This window comes from Homo sapiens, chromosome 21 (assembly GCF_000001405.40).
Source record: "Homo sapiens chromosome 21, GRCh38.p14 Primary Assembly".
Lineage (NCBI taxonomy): Eukaryota > Metazoa > Chordata > Mammalia > Primates > Hominidae > Homo > Homo sapiens.
The window spans coordinates 15,615,232-15,628,386 of record NC_000021.9 but is presented as its reverse complement, the minus strand read 5'-3'; the positions used below and the strand labels follow the sequence as shown (position 1 = coordinate 15,628,386).

The window sequence follows — 13,155 nt, the reverse complement described above, 5'->3', positions numbered from 1 at the left end:
AAACTACAAGTAAAATTAAAAGACATACTGGGAAAACAATCACCTCAGACATAAGAGTTGATGTTTTTTATATTGATTTAAGCAAACCTAAGACACGATATCTTAGAAATAACAAATTCACAGAAGAGTAAATGTCATATTCATGGTAACAAATTTATAGAAGAATAAATGTCATGTATCTTAGTCCTTGACAGACATAATCATAGGGAAAAATGTACAATTGAAAAATAATAATCTCGTGTTGGCAATGAGTGATTAAAAAACAAACACGTGATACCAAGGGTTTATTTGATGGGTCATGCCATTTTCCCAATCAGTCTAATCACTTGATTAGAGGTGGCCCTAAGGAGAGCCTGCTCTTACTGAGCCATTTCTCAAAGGCCATTAGGATTTAGCTGGTAAACAAAACGTGATTAATGTGGCATGGCTACCGTCACTTTTGTGGCAGTATAAACACATAGCTTTTGCGAAGACCCGACATTAAAGGGAACATGTATCTATATGCCTGCATTGTTCTGTGTAAATCACGAAATAATTATCAGGGATTGACTTATTTTCTGTTGAAGATAAGTGCTTTTGTGTTTCCCTTCTTTTGTAGTTTTCTCCCTAACAGCCTGTTTGGCTCTGAACAAATGAGGACAGTTAACAAAATATATATGTGCATACTTTTTAAACCTGTACTTTAACCTCACTTCAGCTTCTTTCCTGCTTAGATTGCAAACGTTGTTAGAGACTGATCAACATGTCAGTTTTGTCTATATTCTCTAAATTGCGTATTGTCTGTTCACCAGAGCTCTTACTCAGGTTAAGTCTGGGTTAATTAACTGTGTTCCTTTTTCTAAGGCAATAAATCTCAATCATATTGTTTTTCTGTTGTCTTAGCTGTAATTTTGATCTTATAGTTAAAAATTTCTATAAGATCTTATAAAGATCTTACAAAAATCTTATAATGTCTTATAGATCTTATAGTTCCTTTAAAGGGAACTGTAATTTGGAATGCTTTTCTCATCAATAAACACAAATTAGAATTTGCTTCAGATGATGACAAGATCTCAGATTGAGGTCTGTAGATAGCATCTTGAGTGTCCAAAATAGCTTTCTTTGAATTCTGCATCGTGTAGATGCCAGTCTTATAATGGATCTCTCAGTCACATCAACGCCCGAGTCTATGGTGATGATAATGTTTGTGCAAAGTGGATGCCAAGTGACTGCACAATCAAGGTTTCTGAGTAGTTGAAATAGATAAGTCTTGAGTCAATCAGTACATCTGTACCACATTCATGTGGCAAATGCTGCTTTATGGAGATGTTTCTAATACTGACCTACAATAATTCAGCCAAGGTAAGTGAGCACTAAATATGCAATAAAGAAATTTGCTACTTTCAATTTTAGCAATCAATAAAATAAAAATTATTTAATGTTGATTTCAACAAAGCCACGATGCTAACTGAAACGTTAAGCAAACAAATAGTCTTTTTCGTTTTTCACGTCTTAGATTGGCACTTGAAGACTGCTTGTTGGGTAAATTGTGATTATTCTGAGCTAACTGTCTTAACAATTCTGCTTTATATAGTATATAAATGTAAGAGGCAATTCTTACATTAGTAGGATTCGTGAAAATATACATAAACAGATCAAACGTAAAACCAGATCGAAGGCTATATCATTCTGTCATCAAACTCAGTATCATTGATCACATTGAATTATTAATTTGAATATTTAAATTGTTTTTGCTTGATAATTCTTGGAATTTTACTTGGTTTCATGGTTGTAGTTATGTTACAAATTTAAAATATTTATTCTTAGTTTTATTTGTATTTAATATTAAACATAAGGAATTTTAGTCTAAGTATTTTTTCTTTAAATTGGATTTAAAAGAAATGAGAATTTTGCAAAAAAAAACTCATGAAAACAACAAAAGATTCCTCTCCTTTATTCAAAGGATCATGAAGAAGAAACCCCAACTAAAAAAATATCCTTGAGAAATATTCCACCCATTCAAGCTGTAGTAACACTACTGTTAGCCAGATAAAATATACATTTTTGAAAATAAACATTTTATTTGGTGATTTCCCAATACCATAAGAGTAGGTGATAGAAGCCAATGATTCATTTTTACTTCTTATTTTCAAATGAAAGCTGTAATCTTCATATCTTATTTTAGAGAAGTACTGAAATCTTGCATTATGAAATACATCCATATAACTGCTACACCATATTCTTAGAAATGTTCTTACTATAAGCAGAAATTCTTACTTGATTTTCTTGTCTGTCTTTGGTTATGTTTTCAAAATGTGTGCCTTGTGAGGATGTTGCAATAGGAATACTAATATTATTACTGCTAATAACATTAATGAAGTAGAGCTGATAAAGCCTTTGGATTTTGTAGGGTTTAAAACCTTATAAAATGCTTTCTCCTGTGTTAATTCCCACAATGGTATTTTGAAGAAGGTCGATGACTCAATTTACAGGTAAAGAAATGGAGGCAAAGAAGCTTACCCAAGGTCGTAGAGTTAGTGAGTAATTTAACAAAGGAGACTTTATCTTGGCAACTTCTAACAATTATTGCCTCTTCTTTTTCTCTTATTGCCCCAAACCATTCTAACAGCCCTCCCTCTGTCCTTCCTGCCCCTAGCTTGTCTCCCCTTCCAGATGATCCTCCTGAATCTACAAGAATCCCTTCCTTCCTTTCTTCCTTCCTTCTTTTCTTCCTTCTTTCCTTCTTTTCTTCTTCTGTGCATGTGTGTGTGTGTGTGCGTGTGTGTGTGTGTGTGTGTGTGCATGCATGTGCATGTATGTGTCAGACTTTCACTCTGTTGCCCAGGCTGGAATGCAGTGGTGCAATCCTGGCTCACTGAAGCCTCGACCTCCTGGGCTCAGGTGATCTTCCCACCACAACTTCCTGAGTAGCTAGGGCTACTCAGGACGCACACCACTATGTCCAGCTAATCATTTGTATTTTTTGTAGAAACAGGGTCTTGCCATATTGCTCAGGCTGGTGTTGAACTCCTGGACTAAAGTGATCTACCCACCTCAGCCTCCCACAGTGTTGGAATTACAGGGGTGGGCCACCACGCCCAGCTAAATTATTTTCTTATAGAAATAAACCTGAGTCTGTCACTCCCCTTCTCATTAAAGAGCCTCTGCTAGCATTATTGACTGAAGGGCAGAGTATCACGAGCCTGACATCTCTCTTCATCCTTACCTTATGGCCATCTTTCATTACAATCACTGCAAGTTGCATAGGATGAAGGACAAATAACCTAAGAATGTCCCATTAGGTGGGCAATAGGCAATTATAGCATTGAAGCATAATGGTATTGTCAAAATTACTTGAAATCAATTTCACATATTGTTGTACCATCTCAAGCAGTTCTTTTTGCTCTCACATCAATTCCTATTTGCTTATTTAAGGCCCCCTTGTGAAGAAACTTACTGTGATTATGAGCTAATAATGCTTCAGATATTTCAGTCTTGATATGCTTAGGCCAAGTACAGGACACGCTGCCATTGCCATGGAAATTACCAGGTGCTTTCATTTTTCCGTGTCTGGAATGCCCTCCTTGCCACAACTTGCCTGACAAACCTATCCTTACATTTTAGCTCAACTGTGTTGTGATGTCTTGCTAAATTCCTTAGGCAAGGTTAGGGCATTTATCTCATCCTCTTGTCTAGCATTCTGTCCATTCCTCCAGAAGTTCAACCATCCTCTATTTGCAATGTTTTTAGAAAGCTGCTACATGTAAGGAAGAGAAATAAAATCACCTATAATTCTATTACTTATTAAAAATTAGTATAATTTTGGCTTTACTCATTGCAAGTTTTTCTAGGATCTAGCTGTTTTTCTCTTTTTATTTGATGATTCAGTAATCCTACTATACATATGAGTGCCTTCTGCTTCCTTTCATTATTTCATGTCTTTGAAACCATCAGTTTTAATGTCTGCATACTGTTCAATTATGTATCACCGATTATTTATCACTTCCCAAATCTTTCAAAATATGTTAATTTATTTAGTTCTTCTTTAATCATATATATTTGCAGCTCCAATTCTGTCACTAAGCTTGGCATGTTAAATATTCAGTAAATTAGTGGTTAAAAAATCTTCTGGCTGTCTGGAAACTGATGCGATTTCCCTATTATCTTACTATTTTGATGATAATTACAAATACTAATTTGGGATTTGTGACTAATTTCCCCAATATTAGTTGAAAATTTATGACGAGGTGGGAAATGAAGCGAGAAAGGTAGAAAAGCTCTCTGGATATTTTAGTTTGGAAACATGCAATATTACAATTCCTGTGGTTATCATGAGCATTCCAGATAGACGATTGTGTTTACAAGTGTTGCTCCTTCCTGAAATATTTCCTTTGACTCTATCAATAGCAAACATTATTTATCAATGCCACTAATGGAATGGAAAGAAGAAGATGCCAATATCTTTTACAAAATATCTAATGATTTATGCTTGGATAGATATCAAGCATGTGGCATGCAAATATTTTAAAAAATATTAAATTAATAGTAAACTGAAAAGGTTTACTCCTTCAGAAAGGGGAGAATTGTCTTGTGGCTCAAAGACATGTCACAGAATGAATAAATGAGAGTTAATTATAGAAAGCTTTGCCTAAGTTTTTGGCCTTTTTAACCAACATCAGGATTTGCTTCACCCATCAGTGGAAGGTGGGAGCGGGGAATGGGATAACAGGTGAGTGGGTGAAACACCTTCCATTTGACCATATATATATATACAAAAGGTCAGTGAAGTTAGCTGATATGGCTTGGCTATGTCCCCACCTAGAATTTCATCTTGAATTGTCATAATCCCCATGTGTCGAGGCAGAGACCAGGTGGAGATAATTGAATCATCGGGGCGGTTTCCCTCATACTGTTCTCCTGATAGTGAGTGATGGTTTTATAAGGGGCTTCCCCCTTCACTTGGCTCTCATTCTCTCTCCTGCCACCATGTGAAGAAGGATGTGTTTGCTTCTCCCTCTGCCATGATTGTAAGTTTCCTGAGGCCTCCCTAGCCATGTGAAACTGTGGCTCAATTAAACATCTTTTCTTTATAAATTACCCAGTCTCAGGTATGTTTTTATTAGCAGCTTGAGAACAGACTAATACACTAGCTGACTCTGACAAATAACTGTTTGCTAAAATAAGTGACATATTTGGAAAACTGTTGACGTTGGTATTTTATACATTGGCTTTCATCACACAGTAAGAAACATAATATGGAAATAGTCTGGTATAGAGGAAGAAACAAGGAATTTGGATTCGGGCATGGGTTCAAATTTCATTTCCATTTTTTATGACTTCTGAGATCTTAGACAAGTTATTTAACCTCTTTGATCTTTAGATTTCCCATCTATAAAACTTGTCAAGTTGATATAAAAGTAAAAAGAGGCAAGCACTTAGCATCTGACACACAGTAGGCATTCAAAAAGTGGGAGCTATTATTATCATCATATTATCTTACATATTGGCATATAAAAAACAAATAGAAAAACTTGGGTTTTGTCTGAAATAAAAAGCAATTGACATAAGAAACATACTGAGAAGAATAGGTTATCACAGGACTCCTGGCATTTTTTTAAATATCATCCAGAACTTAGTTTATCTGATATTGTTTTAAATCCATAAACCTCTCTGAAGGACATCTGAAAACATCTGAAAACTTCCACAGCACCTATCATTGATTGAATCAATAAACTGGGTTTCTGGTCCACAAAAAATAGGAATCTCCAAAATGACACCTTTAGTTGCATAAAATTGGGGGTAGTATCTGCTTTGAAATTCTACCCTTGAATTATTCCATCTGAAGGCTCTAATCTGAGTCCAGTAAAAACCTCTTGCAAATGAGATCTACCAACCAAAGAACATAACTGTGCTCAGATTCTCCTTTATACCTAGAATATTTTTCTTCCCAAATATATCAGTAGAAAGAGCTTTGCGTATTCAAGAGAGAACAGCAAGCTCACAAATAAAGACTCTTCCTCCATGTCTTGTTCTTTCTTCTGGACAAGATGCTAATGAACATATGGAAACATCAAACCCTTTTGGAAGGAAAGCCATATTAATGAAAATGGGAGGAATAAAAAGGGAGGTTGTGGGAAGAAGAGAGGGGATATGAATAAAGTATTTATCTAATTAAAATATACAAGAAGACTAAATTTGAGGTTCATGAGATAGATATAAATTAACTTTCTACCCAAAATAGATTTTGGAGAAAGTAAAATCAAAGTAATTTGGCTGGGGTTTGATTAGTACTGTGTGAATGTAACTGATTCAGAAGAATGGTTCATTAAGTTATGCCCAAGCATATGCAATATCTCTTTAAGAACTATCATTTCTTTTTGTAAATTGGCAATTATCTTTCCTAATACATTTATACCAAGAAAGAAATTTGCTAGCTGGGAAGGTACGAAACATTGATGGATGAATTCTCTGTTTAATTTGAAAAGACAATCAAGTCCCCTTTTCCTGAAGAATGCTTTCTCTCAGATTTTAGTAAACAATTGGTACCACCCCCTACTGCCCATAACTTTTTCCCAGAGTAAATAGGAAGGGTGTCATTTTCACTATTACTCTTAGAGTAATAGACTTCTGCTGTTGTCTTAAATCAAAACTTCTCATTTGTGAGCAGACAAAGCCTTTTTACACGTGCCCCTCCTAACCATCTATGAAGATACTTTTCTCTATTCCATGACTGAACTAAGTGAGTTGAAGGGTTTTTAGGTAACCTGTCCAGTGGCACGCTATTGGTGAGAAGAAAATGGAAATGGAGGCCTCAAAAATCCTAGTCTATATTCTCAAGAACTCATCGAATCAATTCAATGTCATCTTGGAAGGCCACAGACAACTGTGGCAAGGAAGGCAGGCAGTAGACCATGTTGGGAGACTGGCAGATAAGATGCACAAGAAAAACCTTAGTAGCAACAAATGCTTTATGGTCTAAATTGGTATAGGTAGCCAAAAGCAAGGTAGTAATTTTGAGAACATCAGATCAGGAACATAGAAACAAGGTGTTAGAATAAGGGAAAGGTCACCTGGAAGAAGTAGAATATAAACAACAGAGAAGATACTCTTTGAAAACACTTCATTTTGGTCTCAGACAGGCATGCAAATGAGATAAGAAGATTGCTATGGTCTGAGTATCTGTCTCTCCAAAATTCATATGTTGAAGTCCTGACCCCCAGGTGATGGTATTAGGGGGTGGGGTCTTTTGGGAGGTGATTAGGTCATGGGTGTGGAGCCCTTGTGAATGGGATTAATGACCTTACGCAATAGGACCCAGGGAGTTCTCTTAACCCTTGCCACCATGTGAGACACAGTGAGAAGACGCCATCTATAAACAAGAAAGGGGACCCTCACTAGACACCAAACCTGCCAGAGCTTCAACCTTGGACTTCCTGGACTCCAGAACCATGAAAAATGAATTCCTATTGTTTATAAGCTACTTTGTCTATGGCATTTTGTTATAGCCAGCAGCCTGAATGGACTAAGACAAAGATTTTATCTATTTTATACTGTGAATGACTGTCAAGTAGAGTCTTAGCAGTTAAGATGATTTTTGACTCTTATGTAGTCATCATTTATTCTACATTGTATTCAAGTTTGAACTTTCTATTGAGGGCCGTATTTCACAAACATCAACAATTTTTTACTCCTCCTGGAAATTACCACAAGAAGTAAAAACTAAAGAGGGATAAAGTAGAGACGGAGTGCTAGGTAATGAGCTAGGATTACTCACCAGATATGGGACCGTCTGAATTTCCATTGTGTGATCAAATTCTTTTTCTGAAGCACTGGGATAGAGCCCTTGTTAAGGTGAAGTTTACTATATAACCATCTAGAATATGCACGAGACATCTTTGGACTTGTTTAATTTATATAAAGCTCTCTGTCTTGTACAAAGCCCAGAGGCTCCAGGACCTGTAGCAAAAGACAGAAATGAGCTTCAAGACCCTATGACAAAGTCAAGGACATATCTGCTTTAATGACAATCATCCCGCAGAGTCTATAATGAGTGCTGTATGATCAGGGAGCTGAAATTTCTATGAAGAATAGCCTCCTGTAGATAAACTATTGTATATTAATGTGAAAATTACTTCCTATATCCAACTTAAGTTACTTTGATTCAGAAGATGACTAATTTCTGCTCTCAGTAACCAGACATGCTAGATCTCTGAAAGACAACCTCCCTCCCAGTACACTTCTGATGGACGGACAGCGGGCTGTGGCCTGACGGTGCCTCCATATGGTCACCTGGATTCACACTGACCCTAAATGGGTCAAACTGAAGTCTTAGAGGCTTAGAAAAATGGCATATTAAATGTTTATTCATAGTTTTTATTTGAAAGATCTCTATTAATATGAATAAAATTGAGACAAGGGACGAAGAATACCTGTTTTCCTAAATTCACTGTGATATGAAGAGAATTTTCTGACATCTTTTAATTCAGAGAATTCTTGCTGGTGAAGTGTTCCCTTAAAAGGTGATCAAATAGGTGATGGGATTTAGAACACAATACACCCTAAAATACGACAGTTTGTCATCTTGAGTTTTTTAAATTTAAGGAATTCGAGAAAGGGCAAGTATGGAAAGGATTCTCTGACCTTCCCTGAGCAGATCATGCGTGTCGGGAAGCATGTTGTGAAAGCCTGTAATCTCAGCGACTTAGGAGGCCGAGGTGGGTGGATCACAAGGTCAAGAGATGGAGACTATCCTGGCCAACATGGTGAAACCCCGTCTCTACTAAAAATACAAAAATTAGCCGGGCGTGGTGGCGTGCACCTGTGGTCCCAGCTACTTGGGAGGCTGAGGCAGGAGAATCGCTTGAACCCAGGAGGTTGAGGTTGCAGTGAGCCGAGATCATGCCACTGCACTCCAGCCTGGGGACAGAGCAAGGCTCCATCTCAAAAAAGAAAAAAAAGAAAGGAAGAAAGAAATGCCTCTTCTCTGGAAAGTTCACCTTCGTCAGTTGGATGCATTGCAGACTTGTTTGAACTCTTGGACCCTAAGATGAAGATGAGGCTGGGTGCGGTGGCTCAAGCCTGTAATCCCAGCACTTTGAAAGGCTGAGGCAGGTGGATCACCTGAGGTCAGGAGTTCAAGACTAGCCTGGCCAACATGGTGAAACCCTGTCTCTACTAAAAACACAAAAATTAGCCAGGCGTGGTGGCACACTCCTGTATTTCCAGCTACTCAGGAGGCTGAGGAAGGAGAATCAATCGCTTGAACCCTAGAGGCAGAGGTTGCAGTGAGCTGAGATCACGCCACTGCACTCCAGCCTGGGTGACAGAGTAAGACTCTGTCTCAAACAAACAAACAAAAAACAAAAAGAGAAAAATGAAGATTATTGTTTTATTGGAGCAAAAACTACTGTTGAATTAGAGGTTAATGTCTCTTCCAGGCATTTCTGGAAGCTTTTCTTCTGCTGACTTCTATATTACCTGATGGTGAGCATCAGTTAAATGAAATCTTAACAAGATTCATTTAAATGTTATATGTTTTGAGAGTCTAAAGCTAAAAGTACCTATTCTTCCTACTGCAAATGTTGACCATGGTTTAGTTCTCTTACCATGTCCCTTTGAATATGAAATAGGAATATGTTTAAGGAGATAAACAGGTAGAATGTGATATTTCACTTACTATCCCCGATTAACAAAGTACATGGAATAGTGTCGCTTAACTTTCTATACACTAATCCCAACAAAGCAAAATGACATATTATGAGTCAACCTGAGTTACATAAGTATGTGCTCCTTGCAGTGATCATCTTTTGTATCCACGGCATATCTTCTCTCTCAGATTAGAAGGAAAATGCCTCACTCCTAATTTCTTAGCTATTTTACCTAGCTATTGAGGGCAGCAAATGATAATTCCTCAATATTAAAAATAAAGTAAGATGAGTTTCCTGCACTCTTTAGGAATCAAGCTATTGCTATGAAATTACCTGGAAGACTATTTTCAAGCTCAAGAATAGATGGAGCTCTGTGTTGTAAAGGGTTAGTTTTTGAACACTGTTTGAACTGAATTTGAACACTATTTTCCTTCATAATGGGTGTGGATGGGAACAAAAACCAACGTCTCATAATGACCTCAAACATCCCAGGAATGCAGTCTGACCCTTCCCAAAGATGGGATGGCCGGCAGGGTGCATGACCATGTGGGATGAGGATTCTTTATTTACTTCCCCAGAGGATATCAAATGAATGGTTCATAGGATTCTGTTTTCAAGGGTTTTGTTTGGCTCATTTCAGGGAACTCCCTTGTACAATGATGTTGGCGTCTTTCCAAAAAATGTTGATGCTTAGATAAGTTTATAATATCTCATCCCAGGAAGTGATTTATGTCTCCTATATTGTGAGAACTGTCTGTTCAATTTAACTGCTCCTATGTTGTTTATATGTGGGAAAAATTTTGTAACACTAGGAAAAAATTAAAAATGGCACAACTTTTGGATAAGCAGGGCCTTAAAAAAATCCACAAAAACCCTGGTTTTGAGTTTTGTCTGCATAACAAACCAGCTATATGATCCTCAATAAATCAGAATCTCTTGACATTTCAGTATCTAATTTAAAAATGAGAATAATAAAACATACTTAGTAGATGCTGTAAGTAGTCAATAATAAAAGTATGCTAAAGAACCTATACTCTTTGGGCACAGTATACTCAATAAATCTTGATTACTAGTTTTCCTTCTATCTTAATTGTGAATTCATATTTTATTAACCTATAAGTGTGGATTTGGCTGAACATGGTGGCTCATGCCTGTGTTATCCCAGCACTTTGGGAAACCGAGGCAGGAAGATTGCTTGAGGCCAGGAGTTCAAGACTGGTCTGGACAACCTAGCAGGACCCTGCTTCTACAAAAAGATTAAAAAAATTAGCCAAATGTGGTGGTGCATGCCTGTAGTCCTAGCTACTCAGAGGGCTGAGGCAACAGAATTGCTTGAGCCCAGGAGTTTGAGGTTACAGTGAGGTATGATGGCATCATTGCACTCCAGCCAGGGTGACATAGTGAGACCCTGTCTCAAAAAAAGAAAAAAAAAAGGATGGTTTTATTTTTCACTAGCATTCTTTGACATATTGAGTCATTTAGATTTCCAAGAACGTGATGAGGTAAGAAGACATTGAAAATAATATTTCTTTAGAAAGTTGATGTTTTTATTTCTAGGGTTAATACACATTTATATTGGACATCTATGAATAAGTGCTAGAGTTATTAAGAAAGATTAGTACAAGCTTTGAAATTTAGACTCTTTCTGTTTCAAAGAGTATCTGAGCTCAAAATGTGATGCAACTTCTGTGCATTAATCCATCGCCTACTCCCACAGAAGCCTCCTATTATGCCTGATAACAGCTTGTCATCCATTTGGCAGAAGTTTTATCCTTTGAGAACAACCAAATTCCAAATTGTGGAGGTGTTTTTTAAAATGGCAACTTTTGTTTTATTCTTTTTTCTCTGTGTTCATAAAAGTAAAAGAAAATTCTACTCTTTAAAAGTAAAGAATTTTATGAGCCTAAATTTTACATTAGATTTAGTTATGCCTTTAAAACTTAACATTCAGAATACAATTAATTTACAATTTCTTTACAACAAAGAGATATTAGATACTGAACTCAAACTGAAAAATCCTTTTTCATGAGCCTGGCAACACGTTCTTCTTTGGGAATGGTTTTGGAAGTCCACGGGTTTTTGTGCAATTCTAAATTTTAAATCTTTGGTAATAATACATCACTCATCTTAGTTTCCCTCCAATTATCCTCACTTTTACACTTAAGAATTAAAGAAGCAAACACAAATATAGCAGGATGGCTTGGAATAAATAAGAATACCTGGGAACTAGATGATTTTTAAATTATTTGTTTCCTTGTAGACCAGGCACAAACCTGTAGATCTGAAATTCTAACTTCTGAACTAAATATAGCTCTATATTTTGGCTTTGATTGGTTAATTTCATACCTATGTTACTATCTCAGTGTATTCACTTATTTGATGCTACTATATAATTGTGACTTCTTTGAATAGGAAGTCACATGAGTCTTAGTCTTTTATTTTCACAAAGAATCACAGGTAATTCAAAAGCCTATGACTCGAACATACTTTGTCAATGCTGTGTTTGTAACGGGACAAAAAGAGCTTTGATAACAGAGTCCAAAAATCATTAAGTATTAAAATAATTATTTGGAAATCTGGCAATTACACATACACCCCACATTTTTTTTTGTCATTTACTTCTTTAACACTTTATTTTATTCAGAAATAAAAATTTTATTTGTCAATTGCTGACCCATCCGAAGTAACATTTTTTTAAAGGAGAAAACTGAATTTCTGAGAAATTAATTACTTTTACTAAGGTCGCACACTGGGCAGGGGAAGCCCGAAGTCTCATCTAGGTTTGCCTACCCCCATTGCTTTTATTTGTTCCACATGATCCATACTTTGACATAGACAGTCAAGCTGAGAGCTCTTCCCTAAAAAGACATCATTTAACAAGAGAGACAAACATGTAAACAACCATTTATAATGTACTTGAAAGCAGAATACATTTTACTAGTTTCATTGAAACTCCTATAATGGGACCAGCTCAATCTGTCTGGATACCACCGAGGAAGATTTCATTGAGGAGCAGGACTGAGAAGGAACAGAAACTTTCAAGACAGAGTAGGAATGAAGGCATGAGACCCAGAGGAACTAGCACATGTAAATGCTTTGAAACATACCAGAACAGCTCAAAGTTAGGGAATCACAAAGAGGAGCATGTGATAAGAACCTAGAAAAGAAGAGGATGCATGAAGACTTGAAGTCTCAGACACCATGTTAAGGAATTGAAACTCTACAGTATAAGAAAGTAGAAGCCATAGGAGGGTTTTAATCATAGGAAGAAACTTCATTTACTCAGCAGATATTTGAGGGTCTATTATCACCAGGCACTAATCTCATTCATAACTTGGAAAGATCTGACAGCAAAATAAAAGACAGACCAGACATGGGAAAGACTGGAAGCTATTTTGAAACCTTCAGGCAAAAATGATGACACAGAATTGAGGTAGAGACTATGTCTATTCCACCTTTGGGTAAACCATTGTCAGGTGGCAAAATAATAGCAAGCATCATTTTTGCAGCTTTCCCCTCTCATCCCCCT

General features: G+C 36.6%; 1 long non-coding RNA gene across 2 annotated transcripts in view; it reads left to right on the top strand.

Annotated features, from left to right (window-relative positions):
• The first annotated feature begins 1,126 nt into the window (after nt 1-1,126).
• The window catches only part of LOC105369302 (uncharacterized), a 104,389-nt gene continuing 92,360 nt past the window's right edge, over nt 1,127-13,155 (top strand). For both annotated transcript variants that reach the window (XR_001754972.2, XR_937594.3), the window contains exon 1: nt 1,127-1,341. This is a non-coding gene — a long non-coding RNA (uncharacterized LOC105369302). The remainder of the gene's footprint in view (nt 1,342-13,155) is intronic.